We start from the raw sequence: 21,055 nt of genomic DNA, 5'->3' as shown, positions 1-21,055 counted from the left end.
ATACAAGCATACAATTGTATCACCCAATTCATTCTGCATTCTTCTTTTAGTATCCAATTTACTAATGAAGTGTGAATCTTTGAAAGCTGTGTATTTTTGCTCATTTTTATAAAAGATCTAAATAAGCATTTTTAAATGGTTTCATCTGTTGAATCTTACTCTGTGATTCCTGTCAAAATTTTGTCCTGGTAATTTTTTACATGCTTTCAAGAAAGAAGTGAAATTATTCCCATACTATCATTTATGTTTCAGTTGCCCTAATTTTCCCAGAAAAAAAATCTTTTTCTCATATTGCATTGTCTTTTTCTGTATTTTGTGTTTTCCAAATGTCTTCTGAGAGTTCAGAGACTTTAAAACCTCAAAAATGTTCATGTTACTATGGCAAGAAAACTGAAATGCTATGTGAACAAAGTTGTGTTTTTTCAATGTTTCTACGTGTCAGAAATGAGAAAAAGGTAAATCATTGAGGTTATGTGCCCAAAAAGGTTTAATATAAAGGATAACTGTTCAGACCTCTAGGGAGAAACAATCCTTGAAAATATATTTGTGAACTGAGAAAATACTGCTGTTATTTCTAGCTAGAAATATAGCACTGGCACTCTTGGAACTATTTAAGTGAATTTTGGTGTTATAGCAGAATCTTTAGCAAAAACTATATGCAGTTTAAATGGCAACAAAGTGTATTATCTCAATATTTTAGGTATTTTTCTTATTGAATACCTCTTCTGTAATTTATTGTTACTTTTCTAATATCTATTCAAATAATATTTGATAATTTTAATTTTAGTAAGTGTAGATTTGTTACTGTATTTCAATTAATTAAAATGAGAGCCTATTTATCAACTAAATATATTACTGCTATTTAAATTTTGAGTTAAAGTTTTATAATCCCTAACTAAAAAAATACTCTATCCCTAAAAAAGTACTCTTTTTTTTTTTTTTTTTTTTTGAGATGGAGTCTCGCTCTGTCTCCCAGCCTGGAGTGCAGTGGCGCGATCTCGGCTCACTGCAAGCTCCGCCTCCCAGGTTCACGCCATTTTCCTGCCTCAGCCCCCCGAGTAGCTGGGACTACAGGCGCCCGCCACCACGCCCGGCTAGTTTTTTTTTGTACTTTTTTAGTAGAGACGGAGTTTCACCGTGTTAGCCAGGATGGTCTCGATCTGCTGACCTCGTGATCTGCCCACCTCGGCCTCCCAAAGTGCTGGGATTACAGGCGTGAACCACCGTGCCTGGCCAAAAATACTCTATTTTTTAATATTCTACATCAAAGCCCTTTATATTAGAGGTGATTTCATTTTTTTTTCAAATTATTAAACACATGACTGTGACTATGACTTAAATATGTGCCTCTTTTGTGAAAATTTTAATAATTAATTTGAACCTCAATTTGTCCTACCATATATTTTTTTTCTAGTCATAAAGTTGAAATAGAATGTCAAATAATTAAAACCAAATATATTATTTTCACAAGTATGGAAGGCAACAATAATCTACTGGGAATTTATTTTCCCAACTTTATGGCAGTTAGTGGAATGTGGATTTAGTAAAATTATAAGGGCTATTTTTGTTTTAATAAATATTATTTATTGTTTTTTTCTTAGATCAATAACTGTATCTCTTAGACAAACCATGATAGCAATATCCATATGATTAACCAAGTGAAAAAAAAAAACTGCAGAAAAGCAAATGATAGTAGTAACACACAGGGCACTGTAAAGGGAAGAAAAGTCATAGCCAAAGTAATTATAGATAGGGAGTTTTCAGAGAACATAATGTGAGGTTGGAATATAAATATATGCTAAATTATTCCATGTGTATTTCACAGCTGCACTCCAATTCTGACAAAGGTGATGGATCTGTCAAGTACATCCTTACTGGAGAGGGTGCTGGGACTATATTTATCATTGACGATACCACGGGTGATATCCACTCAACAAAAAGCCTAGACAGAGAGCAGAAGACCCACTATGTGCTTCATGCTCAAGCTATTGATAGACGTACAAACAAACCTCTTGAGCCTGAATCCGAGTTCATCATCAAAGTGCAAGACATCAATGACAACGCTCCAAAATTCACAGATGGACCATACATTGTTACTGTGCCTGAAATGTCAGATATGGGTAAGAAAAATCATTTTTGTGATTATGCAATTAACATATTAAGAAAATCAAAAAGTCATCTTTAGAATACCAATTTTTACTTATATATATATATCTGGAGGGGATATAAATATGAAGTTTCAAAATATTTTAGTATTTTTTGTGGCATAAAGTGTTAAAGACTATTGGGTCTAGCAATTATATTCATTGAAATTGATTTCTAATCATGTAAGTGTAGGTAATAGTTGGATCTCAAGGGGAAAGAAACATGTATAAATTTGAAAACACGTGGAATACTTGCTTAATTGATATGGCTCTTCTATCACGTGAATTCTACATGTATATTGTTAAGAACATACCAGCACATTCAATTTGATTATTTGCAGAGAAGAAAGATTCTAGAATGTCTGAAATTTTTGTCTCCAGGTCTTTTAAGCTTTCAGTGTATGACCAAATTATAATACCATTAATAGCTGTTGCTACATTAATCAATACAACTTTTCAGATATTCCTAAGCATTTATATACCTTATTTATTTAAAAATATATGACAGCCCCGTGAAGTATTTTGAATATCATTTTTAAGATGTGCAAACTGGCATAAAGTATTTAAGTCACTTTTGCAAATTCACATATTTAGAAAATAGCCAAGGAGGCATTTTTCCAGGTTTAGCTGAATGCAAAGCCTACACTGCAGCCAACAGAACCATGATCCAGGACCTGAGCCACCCTAATGATCTGGGGCTTTTTCACCACTCACTGGTTTCTGTGGTGTAGCTATTTGAATTTATTTTTGTTTATTTTTCATTTCATGGGATGATTTTTTAAAAAGTAGTTTAAAAATGGTTCTTCTACGATAATACTTTTCGACTATCTTTATGAGACTCTAAGCTTTGTAACACATTTATTGAGTAAAGATTTAATATATTTAATTTTACTGCATATGTATGAGTATTGTTTTAGATTGAGGTTCTTATAGTCACTTAGTCACTAATCAAATCAGTCTGTGAATTTGAAATATATATATGTGTATATGTATATATATGTATATATATTTTTTAAAAATGGAAGATGGTAGCATCTTTTCTCTCAACTCCAGATTCCAGCCCATGTTAGTCTTCTTGAGCTAGGCAGGTAGCTCCTGCAGCTGCTGTAGGAGCAGGTAAGGAAGAGAGTGAGGTCTTCTTCCTTAGCTGAAGTCTCAGAGGAGAAAGCAGTTGCCAAACTCGTTCCCTCTGGACCCCAGCAGAACACAGGAACCAGCCTGCAGGAGCCTAAGAGAGGCCCAGAATACTGTCGGGCTTATTGATCTCCAAGGAGAGTCGAGGGAGAATTAAAGGCTTCAGCATTTTTTAACCCTGGTGGGTGAGAGTTTGCATGGGAACTCAAGGACAGAATTCTCTCTGCCACATCAAGGAACTGATACCCACAAACCTAATCTCCTCTGCCTTAGGAAGGCAACGAGCTCTATGGTGCTCCCACCTGTGAGAGTGCTCCTGGTGAGCTATTTCCAAGGTAAGTAAGGGCCCCAAGGAGCACAAAGGAAACTGTCATAACCACAGGGGTTAAAGCACTAGAGAGAAAAACAGGCAGAGCAGGCATTACCCAGGAAGACAGTATACTAAACAGTAGCCAATACGAGCATTGGAGGGCTTTTATGGATGCCACAAACAGATTTCTGTAACTCAAAGCCTTTTGCTTTAAACAAATAAGTAAATAACAACAACAAAGAAAGTCAATATATGGATTGAAGGCATGAATGGTAACTGATTAGACCTGAATTATTGTCCTGGTACCTAAAATCATAACTGACTGGAAGAAGTAGCTAGTAGCCACAGAAACAAACATAAAATTGTGGATATTGTGGGAAAAAGAAAGGAGATTTAGAGAACATATTCATTAGACCTATCATGTGAATAACATGTGTCCTTAGAGAAAAATAAAGAGGAAATGGGGGAAAGGAGCAATCATAATTTTTCTTGAAGTGAATAATATACTGACTTTACAAGTTTAGTAGACTTTCCAAGTTCCAGGAAGAGTAAATAGAATAAGAATCAAACATAGGAAAATCCTGGTAAAGTTTTAAAGCCTAATAAAAAGAGAAAAATTTAAAAACATTCAGATTTTTAAAAATTAGGTGTGAATAAAAATGAATATGTTACCCTCACATTTATTACATGAAATAGAGGAATCTGTTAGAAAGTTGAGTCCCATTTACGGCCTACAGAGAAAACACTGAAGCCCCAAATCTATTGTTTAGACAAATATGATCCATCAGCTAGGGCAAAATAAATATTTGGAGAAGGATCTGGAAGATCAACAGTTGAAATTGAAAATAGTTGAAATAAATCAGAACAGAGATCTAAAAGTCAAGGAAAATAACAGAGAGGAAAAATGTTATCAACAGTGAACTCTGGAATAGATGTGTGTGTGTGTGTGTGTGTGTGTGTGTGTGTGTGTACACTGAGTTAATACAAATGGATATTTTTGAGATATTGTAAAAGGATGCCACATAATCTATGTGAGAATCATAAGGCATAAAGTAATTTTTGCAGAAAAGGCTGTGAGTTGAGGACTTGGGAACAAGTCAAAGTCCTCATTTGGGGTTTGGGAAGAAAGATGAGAATAGTGAAAAGTTAATATTCTTAAGTTCTCTTACTGAGATGAGTATGGTTGAGGGACAAAAATTTAATATCTGAAAGTAGTAGAGAAAAAGAACAAGACAGAGTAAGTTTCAACTCTCTGTACTACTGTGGTTTCAGGCAAGATTCTATTGAAAGAGTTATTTTATGGGAAACCTTAAGCTGAATATTGGAAATTATATTTTATCAGTAAGTTTGTGTGTGTGTATATATACACTCATTACTATAGGAAAACAAATACATAGCATTCATGGTAATAACATATAATAGATATTGTAACATGAATGCATAGAGGATGATATGAAAGTGGAGGGAGAAACTCACTTTATATTGTGTTCATAAGAATGGGTGATATTTTCATTAACTCTGATTTTTTTTTTTTTTTTTTTTTTTTTTTTTTGAGACAAGAGTCTCACTCTGCCGCCCAGGCTGGAGTGCAGTGGCATGATCTCGGCTCACTTCAACCTCTGCCTCCCAGGTTCAAGCAATTCTCATGCCTCAGCCTCCCAAATAGCTGGGATTACAGGCGTGTGCCTCCAGGCCCAGCTAAAGTTTGTAATTTTAGTAGAGACGGGGTCTTGCCATGTTGGCCAGGCTGGTCTTGAACTCTTGGTCTCAAATGATCCGCCCTTCTGGGTCTCCCAAAGTGCTGGGATTAGAAGTGTGAGCCACTGTGTCTGGCCAACTCTGATTTTAGAAACAAAAAGTTGATGATATTATAGGCAAAGATCTGCAGACAATGGCAGGGGGAACAAATCTGTCCTGCTCTCTGTTTTTGTGCTTTTATTGAAACACAGTTACACTCCTTTACTTGAAGATTGTCTGTGGTAGTTTTGGCACGGCAATGGCAGAGCTGGATGTTTGGGAAGAAGGTCATATCGCTGGCCCACAATGCCCAAAATATTTACAGTGTTATCTTTTATTAAAAAAAAGAGTTTGTCAGTCTTTATTGTAAGCTATTATAGGGAGATCAGAGGCAAGGAACAATTAGAGGATGGTGTCATAGTTTTGATAGACAAGGTATCTGCTGATCTATAGCAGTTAGTGTTCTGCCAGCCCTACTGGACTATATACATATAGACAGAAATATAGCGTTTGTTACAAATATATGGGATCATGCTTCTTCCCTTTGGGTAGATACTGTTAGTTATCTAATGACTATCCAGGCTTCCCTTCTGTGATACTAAGATAGCCTAGTTTTGTTAGAGAATACAGCTGTGTTGCAGAATATGCATGTACATGCACAGAAGATATCTAAAGGAAATAGACACACACACATTGTTGAAGGTTTGCTTCTAAACACTAGGTTGTGGCTTTATTTGGTATGAAAGGAATAAGTGGTTCTAAATATGTAATAAAAATCATTTTTATAACACTAACACTTAAAAATGTACTGGTTTCTAATGCTAACTGAAGACTAATAATAATGTAAGCAGGTGACAACAAAATTTTTATCAACGTATGGGGCCTGATAAAATTACTTTTTTTATCATATACTCATTAATTCAGTTTTGAATCATTAAAACAATCTCTCTCCTTATATTTATTCAATTCTTTCTTGAGTGAGAGAGAGAGAGAGAGAGAGAGTAAATGCACTTTATGTGCTGAGAGCTGTGATAGTGGCTAGTAATAAAATGGTTAATGAAACAAGACCACTATCTTTGAGCAAACTGCAGACTTACAAATAGAAAATTTCAATATGGTGTCTGATAAGCACCAATAGGGGAACCGTAGACTTGGACAGGGGGCCCTGCTTGTGGATGAGAGAAGACGTCCTCAGTGAATCTTAAATAATGCTTGGTGATTTATCTGTTAGAAAAGGTAAAATAAATGGACATTTGACATACAGGATAAAATGATTAAAAAAAAATAGTCCAGCTTGGGATGTGTGTCCGTGTGTGTGTGTGTGTGTGTACCCATGCGTGTGCATTTGTGTGTTTTGGGGAAATAGGAAGATCATGCAAATAATAGATTTTCTATATAGCTTTGCAAATATGTCACAAGAATACAGAAAAGGCAGTACCAGAGACTTCCTTGGTGTGTAAGATTTTATCAGATTATTGTTTCTTGCATCTCTTGCTAAGTAATGATTATGGAGCCACTCCAAGTAATTGCACTGCGCTATATTGCCAGTGAGAAAAGCATAATGTGGTTGTATATTTCTTGTCGGTGGGCAATAATCTGCCGACAAAGTCTGAGACATTTTGGATAGCTCAGTACAGAAAGATGCAAAAATAAACTGAAGTGGTTTCTAAAGCATGTCTTAATGTAAGATTTGCATGTATCTTTTTGATCTATATAATGTAATTTCACCCATTATCTAGGGAATTATATTCTTCTAGGAACGAGTTTTTCAATCTTTCCACTATTAACACTTTGGACTGGATAATTCTTTGTTGTGAGGGTCTTCCCTGTGCCTTGTAGGATGTTTAGTAGCAGTCATGGCCTGTACCTAATAAATGCGGTGGTGTTCCTCCCACAACCACAAAGTGATGGTGTCTTCAGAAATTGCCAAATGTCCTCTGGGTGACAAAAATGCTGTCAGTTAAGAACTACTGCCCTAGGGAACATGCAATATAAAGAATTAAAAATGTCAAAGTAGAAACACAAATTGAATAATATATTTGTTAAATTTATAATCCTGTCCAGAGAGACTTTCATAGTGCCAGAATGCTCATGCCGTGAACTTTAAAACAAAAATATGTTCTATCTGGCTAGGTAAGAAATTGCAGTGTTTAAATATTAATTGTCATCTTGAAGTGCACAATAGTATGAAAACACTGAGGAAAGTCGTAGAATAAAATGAAGTTATTTGCACCCATAAAAGGAAGAGTAATGGCGTGGCTACTTGGGAGCCATGATGGCTCTCATTAAAAAAAAAATTGTGTATTGTATAGCCTGCATTTAGAAGACCACTTGAATTGTGTTTGGTTCCTAGTAAGGTACTGGCTGTCATATATGTGTGTGTGTGTGTGTGTGTGTGTGTGTGTGAGACATGTATATACACATGTATATATGTACATATATGTATGTATATATACACGTATATATGTATATATGTATACATATATACATACATATATGTACATATATACATGTATATATACATATATGACATATATACATATATACATAGATGACATATATACATATATACATAGATGACATAGATGTACATATACATGTATATTTACATGTATACATATAGATAAGTATATATATACGCATACACTATACATATTTATCTAAATAATTTCAACAGTAAACATATGTGAACAGAATGGCATTATAACATTATTGCGGGCAAATGTAACCTGGATTAATCCATAATAGATGTACATATTTGATCAATGCAAATTTGAGATTTTAAATTTTCCTTTTTTTGTGATATGCAGTACATTATCATGTCAGTCTTGATCTTTACCAACTTCTATCAATTATTTAATGGAATTACTTCTTCAATTTCTTTCTCTATAGTTACATTACATGCCTAATTTATATAGTCTTCAGAACCGACAGTTAAAATATGAGATAATGAGTTAATGTGTTTATCACAATACAAAGATGAAAATGACCATGAGATGAAATGATACTTGGTTTTTGAGTTAGCTGTCAAGTGAATGATTTTAGAAATTAAGATGAATAAAAATGTATTTGTAAATGGTATTACACTTTTCACATGAAAAGCACATCATAACTCACTAAGAAATTTAGCAATAATACAAAGACATAAAATTAGCAATAAAAAGCTGGTAAAGGTGTTTGTCTTAATTGTGTGTATCGTATCTCTTTTATTTAAAACAAGAATAATTTTATCTGTTCTCTTTTTATGGAGACATTCTCAAATTTCTGCAATTACAGTCTTGCTTTCACCTAGAATCAGGAGTTTCTATAACTGTATTAACTGAAATTTGTTTCTATTGCAGTCATTTTTTTTTAAATGTTTTAAATCTAGAAGTTGTTTCAAAAAGATCATATAACAGATCACAATGTAATTTGGCAGAACATAAACTTTACTATTTTCTTTTTCAAATAAATATTTCTGTATGAAAATGTACAAATTTTTAACTCTTCTGTGTATTAGTATACCTATCATTAAATACCATTTAAAAGCATTTAACAGGTAGTAACAGGTTATAGAAATAGTACTTTTTAATGTATGAGAGAGAATAAATATTATATTTTAACAGAATTATAAGTATACATTTAATAAACTGTAGGTTCAATATAACAAACTTATTTTTGCAGCTACAAAAAGGAGATTGTTTAACTGCAAAGTTCCTTTTTCTTGGAAATGTATTGAAACATCTCTAATCTTCTTCATGTCTTTTTTTTTCACCTCCAATCTCTAAGGCCCCAGGCTGTTCCATTTGCAGCTGTGTTTCTTGCTGCAGAGCAACAAGAAGAGACACCAGCTGTGCTGACTTTATTGTGCTTCTTGTTGGAGCGCTGATTTAGTTCTGCCAAATATCTTGGGATGTTCACCCTGGACATCTGCCAAGATTCTAGTAGCCATTTAAAAATCATTACCCTGGGGCATAATGTTCAGAATGGTATCATTTTAATAAAGCACAGCCAGCACTCTAATTCTACATGGAACATTGCAGTATTCATGAAGAGACACATTGGACAACTGACAAACCAGAAAGTAGACAAAATTTTGCAAGTTTCATAATTTTCTTCTTTATTTGCATAACTATTCTTCTGTGTAAGTTAGCTTGTGTTTTGTACAAACCAACCCACCCACAGTTTAGTGGCCACACACAATATTTGCTTTATTTGCTCATAATTCGGTGGTCCAGGCTGCTCTTCCACTAGGGTCATACATTGCGCTGTAGTCATCTAGGAGCTCGAACAGCGCAGGTGCCTCCCTCACCTGCAGTGGTGGATGCTGGTTACCAGCTGGTTTTTCTGGGGTCTTAGCTGGGTGGCTTGTCTCTGATCCATGGTATCTCATCCTCCAGGTAGGGACCTGCTTTGTGTGCATTCTTAGGGCAGTAGTTCAAGAGGATAAGAGCAAAAATATTAAGGGTTTTAGAGAGGAGTCTCAGAAGTTCTGTTTTTCCACTTTTGCTGCATTCTGTTATTGTATCCCCTCACTTGAAGCAAGATATTCTCTAAATGTTTATTGAACAAGTACATGACAACCTTTTCCACCTACAATTACGTCTAGAGGAAAGATTTCTTAGAAATATTGGCTCTTAATTTTTGGAACATAATTGTTCCAATATCTGTTTCATTGGGTAAAGATTCTTTTTATTTATTTTATATATCTTTAACTTCGTTGTTGTAAATTAAAGAAAGGCCCAATAAACCAACATAGTTTTTAACTTTTATTCAATGATTGATGTGATTTACTAGATTGCATTTTACTCTTCAAGTGATTCCTCAGTCTTTCCATTTACTTTTTTTAAACTTATATTTTAAGTTCAACGGTATATGAACAGGATGTGCATATACCTATGTGACACATAGGTAAACATGTGTCATGGGGTTTGTTGTATAGATTATTTCGTCATTCAGGTATAAAGCCTAGTAACCATTAGTTATTTTTCCTGATCCTCTCCCTCTTCCCACCCTCTGCCCATTGGTAGGCCCCAGAGTACATGGTTACCCTCTTACCACTTACTTTTTATGAATGTAGGCCAGACTTGGAATTCCCTAATAAAACTGGTCAATTTGCAAGAGAAAATACTTAACTAGAAGATACATATTTTTCTGCATAAATTGTACCACATTCATACAGATTTAATTGGTACATCATGTTTTAAAAAATATGATAGCCAAAGAATGACTTTCATATGTATAGGCCTCAATGTAGAAAACTGAAACACAAAACAAACCAGTCAGAGATTCTTGGCAGTTTAAAGAGGCAGGTTTTGTGTAGGTAATTCTAAAAAATATAATAAGTGAAATTATTGCAGTGATCAATGGATCATTGAGGTATATAATTTGGCTTTGGAATGTAGCACTTCTCTTAAAGTAGAGAATGTCTTTTTTAAAGAAAATAAACAGCAAAATATTTACTACAATTGATCTTAGAGCAACCTTGGCTTATTATTTTAGCACCTTCCACCTTTACTTATAAATTAGTTTGAAATCACCTGATATTATAGTGGTCCGTAGTCCCTTAAAAATATATTTTAAAAATCTCAGTATCATGTGCACCTAACAAAGTGTCTAAAACTAAATAGGTAATAAATAAAATATGTATAGAATGAGTAAACCCAAATTATATACATTTTCACAGAGACAGAGCTATTCTTAAATGTGACATTTTTTCTATATTTATCATATCCATTCATGAATCGATTTTCTCATTAGAATCATTCTTATTCATTACATAAATTGACTGGAATGTCACATATATAGATCCTAATAATAACAATTTATGTTGTTTCTTTCTTACTGAGGAAATAGAATAAAGCAAAAAATCTCAAAATTGATACTTGTCATCATTCAAGTATCACTAAAAATATTAATCAGTCGATGTTGTTGTCCCTATCTTTTAATCAAAGCATATAAATTAAAATTGTTTGTATCATTTTATAAGTTGAAAAAGATTTTAAGCAAATGCTGAAATTACTGTATTAGGACATATACTGAAATTTTATTTTATTTAAACAATCAGGATATGTGATAATCCCCCTCACTTTTAATTGAACCTGATTTCTAATTCTGTTTGGATAATTTTATTGGTAGGGGGGCATAATTTTGGATAGTTTTGTCCATTTCCTAGGAGTCAGGTGTTCAGTGAATGTTCAGTGATCAGGCACAGAGAGAAAGCTCAATGTCAGGGATGTGGAATAGGCCCAGTGATTAGATATAGAGTGAAGGCACCAAGTAATCTGAAAAAAACACACACATACAAAATGACCAGGTTTATGGTCAAGGCATAGTGACCAGGCATAGAGTGAAAATGGCACAGCAGTCAGATATAAACATTGCAATCAGGTATAGCTGGAAGGTGCAATGGTCAGGTATAGACAGAAGACAAAATGATCAGGTTTAGAGAGAAAGTATAGCATCAGATATAGTGAGAAGATACAGCAATTGGGTATAGAATGACTACACAGTGATTGGGTGTAGAGAAAATTCACCATGATCAGATAGAGAGTGAATGCACAATGGTCAGGTATAGAGGGGAGACACAGCAATTGGATATAGAAAAAAAACACTGTGAAGGTAGAAGGTGAGGGCACATCACGCAGAGAGAAGGCCGCATGTGGAAGAGGACTGGCAGTGCCATCACAGGTCTCTACTGCTTTCTACCAGACTTCTGTGTTCTCACTGGTTTTCATTGATCAGTCCTTGATCATCATGAATTCATTCTCTCTGTCATAATTGCACATCTTCTTGAAATCCTCTGAGTTTCTCTCAGCCAATTTCACTTCCTATTTTAGTATATAGAGAAATTTTCTTGTACTCATACTCTGGCAAGGAGAAAACTTTGAAATCCAGTTTGGATATTATTGTCCTGCACAAGCTAAATGGCCAATTTAAATCTTCTCCTGCTGTGCCACACAGAGACACCATGGAATATTGTGGAAGTTGCGACCTTTCATAAAAGCGGTGCTACTCTCTAAGTTTATCACAACAGTCCATGTAGATACCAAGAAAAAAGCACCCCCACACATAGAACCAAATGTGATAGCTTTTGTTATATGCAACGTTTGTAGTAATTTATTACGTAGTATAGAAAACAAACACACACAAAAAAACTAGAAAAATATAACTATGCAACAATAAGCAACGTGGAATGTAAGATAGCTACAGAAATTATATTAAACATCTATTACTTTAATTATATAAGAATATATATTACAAAAGAAGATATCATTATTTATCTTTCAAGATCAATAATTTACTAGAATATTATTCCGTAGTGATTCTTCTGTGTCATGTCTCCCCCACCTGTGAAGCTGTCTATAATTTTATATTTTTTTGAGACAGTCCCCCAGGCTAGCTAGAGTGCAGTGGCAGCACGATTATGGCTCACTGCAGCCTTGATCTCCGAGGCTCAAGTGATCCTCCCTCCTCAGCCTCCCACCTAAAGGCGTGTGCTACCATGCCCGGCTAATTGTTGTATTTTTATTAGAGACAGGGTTTTACAATGTTGCCCACACTGAACAAAATTTTAATTGTTACGTTCAAGTGTTCTTTATTAGTGGATTTTGAATTCTTGTGTTGTATCTTAATAAAAATGTTCTGGTCCATTATTTCAAGTGCTTTATTCAGAGATACCAACTTAAATTGTTCACTTAATTTTCATAGTTGTCATAAATACTCAAATCATAAATGTCTCATCCAATTATTTCTAAAATTCTTTTAATTCTTTCCTCCAATTAAATTACCTGAATTTTCAAAAAAATAATCTTTTACATAATTGTCATGTAGATATCCATGAAAAATTATTGGGTGGGGTAAAAATGCACAGTGTTTTGTTTAGTGTATGTATATATGCATGAAACTATATTAGAGCCCTTTGAATGAACAGAGATAGAGTTATAGAAAGGCAGGCAAGACAATGTTCAGGTTGCCTTCCTTAAGAGAAATAGCACTGGACTTGTATTTATTTTTCTTACGAAGTATAGGTGTGACTTCTCTAACTTAAAATATCCAGTATCGGCTGGGCACAGTGGCTCACATTTGTAATCCCAGCACTTTGGGAGGCCGAGGCGGGAGGATCATGAGGTCAGGAGATTGAGACCATCCTGGCTAACATGGTGAAACCCCATCTCTACTAAAAATACAAACAATTAGCCGGGCGTGGTGGTGGGCGCCTGTGGTCCCAGCTACTTGGGAGGCTGAGGCAGGAGAATGGCGTGAACCCAGAGGCGGAGCTTGCAGTGAGCCGAGATCACGCCACTGCATTCCAGCCTGGGCGACAGAGCGAGACTCCGTCTCAAAAAAAAAAAAAAAAAATCCAATATCATCAATACATTGAACAAAAAGAGATTGAATGGGAGTGGTTTCCTATTGTCTTTTCAGCAAAGAGATATAAGAGCAGCACTTATGTTGCGACTGCTTTATAACTAAAAATACACTGGGATCAGATTCCATGTGATTAAAGCAACCACTGAGACCAATTGACAGCGACATAAAGAACTTAGTGACATAAAGAACCAAGTGACATTTCATGGACTCTGTTCCACCATGTTTAACTTTCTGTCTTAAATATACATTTATATAATGTAGTGAGCCAATAATATTCTACTGTCTATACTTTTATTTACCTGGTTAGATGCTTTGCAAACACTCACCTGTGTTATGGAGGGTAGTGACTCAGCAGCATTTGCCTCCGAGGGAGGACAGCTTGCAACAAAGCCACACCAGCCCAACCACATTTCAGAGTATGTGAGTGAGAAATCAACTTTTATTGCTTAAAGACTCTAAAATTTAGGGTTTGTTTGTTATTGCAATATAACTTACACTTAGATATATCTTTCTGATATATCACCCCTTGACATGTCAGAGACCATACACCAAAAAGAAACCATAAATATTTCAAAAAGAAACCACAATAATAAGATAGGGTACCAACAGTGGATAAGAGATTCCAAAAATTCCTAGAGCACTGAAGACATTGAAACTGGATTAATGGGCAGGGGGTGGGCAGCACTGGGAAATAGATCAAATGTATAGCCCTAAACATTAAAGGAGAACATTATCTTGTCCAAGAAAGTCCTTGTAAATACAAGACACCTGGACAACTTATTAAATTGAAGCTTTCAAAACAAGGAAGAGTCTTTTTTTAATCTGTGCAATCCGAGAAAAAATATTTTTATTCTACCATAAGGCCTTTGGTGAATTTTTCTGAGGATGGCTCAAAAAAGGAATATTGTGACACAAGAATTAAGCAGAAATTAACTTCCAGTAAACCAAAACGTCCATATCACAGGGGAACAAAAACAAAATAAAAGAAAACAGTTCTTATCAATAGACAAATATCACAAGTCCCCTCTTCTGATGCAGTTACTCCTGCTTTGGAAATAGAAGGGTACTCAACAAGCTTGGAAAGAATATCAATGCATTCCAGCCACACTTACTAAGAGGTAGCATTCCAATTGAAAGGGGAAAACATCAACTCAGTTTTTAAATGATAATGTGCTATTTCTCTTTCAATCAACCAGCTGCTTTTTTTTGTTTCATTTTTTTGGAAATAAAGCAACAAGATAAAAGACAAGGATTAAAATGAACAAACAGAATAATGATTAACTGCAGAGAACACTGTGAAATTTTGTTGCATTCATTAAACAAGAACAGCATAAAGGTGACACAGGACTTTTCTTGCCCCATTTGCCGGACCTGCAGCAGGGAACACCCCACCTACTCAGCCCACTGCGCTCAGCCCCTGGCAGGAGTGAGCATGTAAGCAAGCAAGTGTGGGGTCTGGCCAACTGCTTTGAGCATCAACACATGAGCAAGTTCTGTGTGAGGCTGCAGTAAGATCAGATGTGTCACCCTGAGGGGAATTTGATGATGCCCAGGCAGTGGTGCCTGAGACACCCAAGCCCCAGAGGGGATGTTACAGGATGCTAATTAGCTGTCTGCTGTCCAGTGGAAAGAGGCGTGTTAGCAGCTCAGTCAGCCTTTTACCCTGCTCTTGCCCATGACTCCAGGACTAGCATGGCTCTGGGACTGGCTTGGACCTGCTGCTGCTTCTGTCATACGAGGCGGCTGCCCTCCATCAGCAAGGTCAGAGGGCCAGTGTTATAGACTTTCTGGGCACCCTCATTTGGTGGGTCTTGAGCTCTTGTCCCACATCCAAGAAGAATGAGGTCATACTGATAGTTGAAGGGTAGTGAAGGCAGAGAATTTTATTGAGTGACCAAACAGCTCTCAGCGGAGAAGAGATGGGAGAGTTGGGTTGTCTCTCTTGAAGTCAGGTCATCTCTCTGTGTGGCTGAGTCTGCAGCTTTTATAGGCATAGGATAAAGAAGTATGTACTGATCCATTCAAGAGTTTGGAAAAAGGTTAAAACAAAGGCACCAGTCAAAGGTGGGAACAGTGTAAAAACAATTAGGAAAGGGTAGGTATATGTAAAATAGGTGAAGGGTGAAGCTCAATCAAAGGAAAGCACTACAAAGAGGAAGACAGGTTCTCTATCTGGTCTGTGAATTTGACTTGTAGCTTGGTCTTCAGGCTTTGAACTGTCTTTGGCTTGAAGATGAGGTTTCATGGGATGCCCACCCCTGGTATGCCTAGGATTTCTCTGCCTCCTGCCTGTGTCATTTCCTCCTCTGAAGAGGTGCATCTAACTGCTGTTAGAATAGGGATCATGACCGATATTAGCTACTCCCTGCTGACAGGGGATGCTGTTTTGGGAAAACGGAACTCAGATTTCCCTCAGAGGCCTATCTGAGGGTTCCTGGTAAAAGGGAGCTATCATCAGAGGCTCCAGTTGTGTGACCATTTAAAGTTTGACAGCCTGTAGGTGAGAAGAAACAAGTTTTACAAGGTTAAGTATGCATGGATCAAATATTAACTTCTCACACAAAAAACAGTTAAAAGGAAAGAATCTAGTGCCGAAGATAACAGATATAAGAGATGAAATATACTAATCATTCTGAAAACAATATTGTGTCCCAAGCTGTTTCACCCTGGTGAAACAAATTAAATCTTAGGTGGGAGCAATTAAACTTTACAAGAGAGATAACTGTTTAAGAAAGTAGATATTCCCATGGGTGTTCAGGATTAAGGAGTCCTTCATAAAGTTACCTTATGGGCTTAATTACTATAAAGGCTAAACAAGAAATGCTTGATTTTGATGACATAGCTGTGTCACAATTTATTTTATTTATTTATTTATTTTTTTGAGACAAGGTCTCACTCTGTCACGTAGACTGGAGTGCAGTGGCATAATCATAGCCCGCTGCTCTCACTCTGTCATGTGGACTGGAGTGCAGTGGCATGATCATAGCCTGCTGCAGCCTTGAACTCCTGGGCTCAAGACCCTCCTGCCTCAGCCTTCTGATTAACTGGGACTACAGGTGTGTGCCACAACATCTGTATAATTTTTTATTTTAAAAACTTTTTTTTTTGTAGAAACTAGGTATCTCTATGTTGCCCAGGCTGGTCTTGAATATCTGGGCTCAAACTCCTGAGCTCAACTTGGCCTCCCACAGTTCTGTGATTATAGGTATGAGGCTATAATTTTTTTAAATTATGGGAAGGCACTAGGCCTTTCTCATAGTTTTAAAAAATGCATTAATTTTTTTTTTTATTTTTTGAGACAAGGTCTCACTCTGTTACCCAGGCTGGAGTGCAATGGCACGATCAGGGCTCACTGCAGCCTTGTCCTCTGATGGTCAATTGATTATCCTACCTCAGCCTCCTGAGTAGCTAGAACTACAGGTGTGTACTACCAGGTCTGGCTAATTTTTGTGTGTTTTGTAGAAACAGGGTTTTGCCATGTTGCCCAGGCTGGTCTTAAACTACTGATTTTAAGCAATCCACCAGCCTCAGCCTCCCAGCGTGCTGGGATTGCAAGTGTGAGCCACCATGCAGACTCATGCATTAATTCTTGATGGTGACACCATTACTTTCAACTTCATTAAGTAAAATGGAAGCTTATCTCAAGAAACCATTTCTAAAACATGTCACACATTAGAGAGATAATTGATAGAATACTTCGACGATTATTTGAGTTCTTAAACATTCTCTCTCTGTATATATGTATTTGTCAGGTTCTAATATGCTGAGTAATTCAAGTTTTTGAATGCAAAGGCATCCAGATTCTCATTTTAAAATAAGAATCTGCAACAGATTGAGTATCTCTAATTCCAAAATCTGAAATTCAAAATGCTCCAAAGTCCAAAACTGTCTGAATGCTCACATGATGCTGAAGATGACATTTGTTGTTGTTGTTGAGATGGAGTCTCACTCTGTCACCCAGGCTGGAGTGCAGTGGGGCTCTCTCGGCTCACTACAAGCTCTGCCTCCCAGGTTCATGCCATTCTCCTGCCTCAGCCTCCCGAGTAGCTGGGGCTACAGGCGCCCGCCACCACACCTGGCTAATTTTTTTTGTATTTTTAGTAGAGACAGGGTTTCACCATGTTAGCCAGTATGGTCTCGATCTTCTGACCTCGTGATCCACCCGTCTCGGCCTCCCAAAGTGCTGGGATTACAGGTGTAAGCCGCTGCGCCTGGCCGAAGATGACATTTTTTAACACTGAAGAGAAGTGCCTATATGATGAAAATGTGTGATAGGTTCATTGTAGGACTAGAGTAGTGTGCATTTGTAACAGAATAAAAAATCTTGTCCATCTATAAAATCAAAGATGTAAACCACTGCTAATAAGGCAAGTGACTCTAGAGAAAAATTTTAAGTAGCCATCCAGCAGAAAGCCTCCTCATCTCCACAGGAACCACTTCCTGTTCCCTCAATTGCTTCTGATGTTTATTCTCTCCTAAAAAATATATAGTAGACAGTAACATTTTAGTTTATTGTTTAATGGCTAATATATGTATTCTGGTGATGCTGTTCTTCTACTTAGCTACTACAAATGCATTACTTTTTCACTGCATTAATTGCATGCTTTTTTTTTTTTACCATTTAATACTTCTGTGTGAAAATGATTGTTTAGCAGTAGCAATATAAATTCAGAGTCAGAAATAGTGGTGATGCCAAACAACCACAGATTGTCCACATAGGTGGCTGAGATACTGCTTTCTGATGGTTTAATGTACACAAATATTGTTTCATTCACAAAATTATTAAAAACATAACTTACTTTCAGTCCATAGAAATAAGATGCATATGAAATTTAAATGAATTTCGTATTTAAACTTGGGTCCCATCCCCAAAGTATCTCATTATGTATATGCAAATTCTTGAAACTGAAAAGAATCTGAAATCTGAAATGTTGGTCCCAAGCATAAGAGATATTCAACTTGTACTAACAATATTAGCATCAAATATAGAACCTAACCTTTATGTTTGGTAGTGTGTAGTCATTACTTTCAAAATGGATAAAGGAGCATTGGGGAGAAATCTGTTAATACCTTCTGTGTCAATCAAAGTTCTAGCAGAAAAACAAATCAACTGGCAGTTAGACAAATAGAGAAAATTGAGAACAAGTTACAAAAATGGAGGGACTGAAAAGTCAAATAGTACCCTGTGAAACAATCACTGCAGCAGTATGGCTCCCTTAAGGCTGAGAGTAGTAGTATTACCTAAGCACAGAACCTGGATCTTATAGAATGGACCATGGTAGGGGGCAGCTGAAAGGGAGCTGGAACCACTGAAGTACTGCAGTCTTAGCCAGAGACATCATCCAAAGCAGAAAGAAGGTGGGAGGGAGAGAGAGACAGAAAGGCAGGGAGAGAGAGACAGAAAGGCAGAGACAGAGAGATTGACTTATTCTTGTTTTTCAGTTTCCATCTATAACTTCCCCTTATTCTGTTGATAAGGAAAGCAAATCAATGTCAATGACAGGTATTAAGTTTCTGCAAGCAGAGCAGAGCAGGACAGGGTAGGAAATCAATTTGAGATAATATGCAAATATACTTGTAAGATACATAAGACTAGTGGGCATACGATCAGTCCAGTCAATTTTCACTAGAGCCATTTACTCTGTACAACTATGAAGAGAATTATGAGCATTCTACAGGGCTGCAGAGGAGCACAACAGTGTTGTTAGTTCCTGGATATTACTCCCTTCTAAGTATTCTGCAACATACTCTTATTTGACAAAATGGACTTACCGCCTCGGCCTTTCACTATGGGAAATGTGATAGAAAGCTTCTTCTGCCCAAGTAGATGCATCTGGACTGTCATTGTACACCAGCAAGGACCACACAAAACAAAAAGGCAGAAAATATTGTAACTATTAAACAAGATTCAGCAGATCTTGACTGGGTCAAGTAATAGTGTATATGAGAAAGACTGCTACATATCAAAATAGATAGGGCTGGACTTGAATTCTGCCGTCTCCAATTGTCAACTATACAACTTTTTTGAACTTCAACTTCTCTATGGGTAAAACAGTATTAAATGTCATTTTCTCAATAGATTATTGTTAACTTAATTATTTTATTAAATTCAATGGCTTATAACAGAGGGTTTCCACATCATTGGCACTTAATACCTATTATTTCCCTATTATTTTTTCCATTTATGGAACAGAATATAAATTGTACATGTGAATGTGAAATTTCACATTAGTTAGTGCCATAAATAAGATCCTATTGAAAGTGCACAGAAATTAACAATTGCTGTGGTTTTATAGTTAGTACACAAAATAGTGAATTTTGTTTTGGTACTCAGCCCAGATGTTTCATATGTGTACTTGCAGAAATATTTTTTTCTTTTCAATTCAGTGACTTGAGTTAATACTCAAAACTTTATTAAATTACACAATGACTACAATGCAGTGTTATTGGTCTGTTGGTGAAATTACAGTTCTCCTGTATAGAATGAAATTTAAGTTGTATCTTGACGACTATTTCTTTTTCATGTTTCCTGGGAAAATCTTCTGAGAATTAAGCCCTAAGAGATTCCTTCAGAGAAGTACTCTGAGCCTTCGTAAATCTCCAGCTTATTTTTACTCAAAGTTCTTATTCAACATTGAATCTCTTGAGATTTTAACAGAGCTGTTAACCCTGACAAGTCATGCATAACAATTTGCAGTCTCAGAGAGTATTTGCTTGGTATAAAAATGCCTTATTAAATATTTCAAATTCGTCTTTAGAAACTTACCAGGAAGTCTACTCTTTCTGCCTCTCATTGATATGTGTCTATGCAAAATACGTGCTGTTTATAAAGCAGTAGTACCAAAAAACAAACGAAAAGAATGAGAATGACACAGGGCAATACCTAAAGAAAATAAGATTTAAGTTTTATTGTAGAAAAGATATCTTGAAGGCATTCTCATGTACTTAAATCTTTCTCAGATTTGTATAAAACATCAGCTGAGAGAAACTAATCCTCAGCATGGGAACAGCTAACTGTGTTCCATAGGAAATATTTACCATGAAAATATTGTATACCAAAAAGCAATGAAACTTGAAATACAATATTTTTGTGATTATAACTTTTAAGGGAAACAGTTTCAAAATTTAAGAATGCTTCTAAAGCACTTTTGAAAGATTTTTCTTTAATTGGGAAACCAATTATCTAGGGAGGGGAACTGTTGGTTTAATATCTATTCATCAAATCTATATAATAATTCCCAGAGAAAATTAGATTCCTATTTTAATATTCTGGTGGAATAATGGAATTTTAGACAATATATATTTTCATTTTGAAGTCTAGCACGTAGAGGGTAATAATTTTTTTTCTTTTCTACTATGCATAAAATTTGGGCACACA

General features: G+C 35.9%; 1 protein-coding gene across 20 annotated transcripts in view; it reads left to right on the top strand.

The window, feature by feature from the left end:
- Nucleotides 1-21,055, top strand: part of CDH18 (cadherin 18) — a 1,104,418-nt gene that overhangs the window by 826,652 nt on the left and 256,711 nt on the right. For all 20 annotated transcript variants that reach the window (XM_005248228.5, NM_001349562.2, NM_001349556.2 and 17 more), the window contains one exon: nt 1,826-2,120. In XM_005248228.5, coding sequence (XP_005248285.1) covers nt 1,826-2,120 — 295 coding nt within the window. The remainder of the gene's footprint in view (nt 1-1,825; nt 2,121-21,055) is intronic.

Source organism: Homo sapiens, chromosome 5 (genome assembly GCF_000001405.40).
Source record: "Homo sapiens chromosome 5, GRCh38.p14 Primary Assembly".
Classification (NCBI taxonomy): domain Eukaryota; kingdom Metazoa; phylum Chordata; class Mammalia; order Primates; family Hominidae; genus Homo; species Homo sapiens.
The sequence above is the reverse complement of the archived record's forward strand: the minus strand, read 5'-3'. Positions and strand labels throughout refer to the sequence as shown.